The sequence below is a fragment of the Homo sapiens genome, chromosome 19 (assembly GCF_000001405.40).
Source record: "Homo sapiens chromosome 19, GRCh38.p14 Primary Assembly".
NCBI lineage: Eukaryota > Metazoa > Chordata > Mammalia > Primates > Hominidae > Homo > Homo sapiens.
Genome location: NC_000019.10, coordinates 28,930,654 through 28,931,375, shown reverse-complemented (window position 1 = coordinate 28,931,375; position 722 = coordinate 28,930,654). Strand labels below are relative to the sequence as shown.

General features: G+C 45.3%; 1 non-coding gene across 1 annotated transcript; it reads right to left on the bottom strand.

The window, feature by feature from the left end:
* Window positions 1–270: 270 nt before the first annotated feature.
* LOC124904797 (small nucleolar RNA U13) lies at window positions 271–373 on the bottom strand. Its single transcript, XR_007067380.1, has one exon. It is a non-coding gene; the product is annotated as a small nucleolar RNA U13 (small nucleolar RNA).
* Window positions 374–722: the final 349 nt, after the last annotated feature.

The window sequence follows — 722 nt, the reverse complement described above, 5'->3', positions numbered from 1 at the left end:
AAGCACTGGACTTAGGAAATTTTGAAATCAAAGAATCTCCAGCCCTTAGAGCCACAGAGCACTTGGCAAGAAACAGGTTCTCAGCACACAGAGTACCATCAAGTATAGAAGCAGACAATTCAGATGAGAGCCATCTTCTTCCATTGCAATGAGATTAAATCTCCTAGTAGGGTCAAGTGCAAGGCACCTTGGTCTCTCCCATCTGCTTGCATTGAGATGATGACTAACTTTCAAATTGCCATGTTGTGCAACCTGTCTTATTCTACTTCACATGGGATGGGTTATGTGCTGGTGGCATGAGAGGGTTTGAGGGAGGCACATCTCACACATGAGTATGAAACCCAATCATCACACTTATAAACTATAGAGGGATCAAACTATTGTATTTTGGAAGGAAGGGAATAACTTTGGGAATCAGTAAAAACCCAGCGTGTGCTTCAACTGTGTGTGGGCACTTGTTTTCCCCACTCCAATAATGACCCATTCTGGAATAATCTGAACACATTTAGCTGTGCACTTCACCTGGCAGACACCAGACAGCCATGGAGTTCAGACTCCTGACACAAGATGAAAGTGGTTCTGATCCTGAATTCCTTCCAGCAGTGACACTCCCGACATCGTCAATCACTCAGACCCAGAGAGTGGGCAGAGAGCTTTGGGCTAAGGTCCTCGGCAGTCCTTTAGCTGATGAATGTGTCTGTGGGCTCAGAGACATTTTCTGT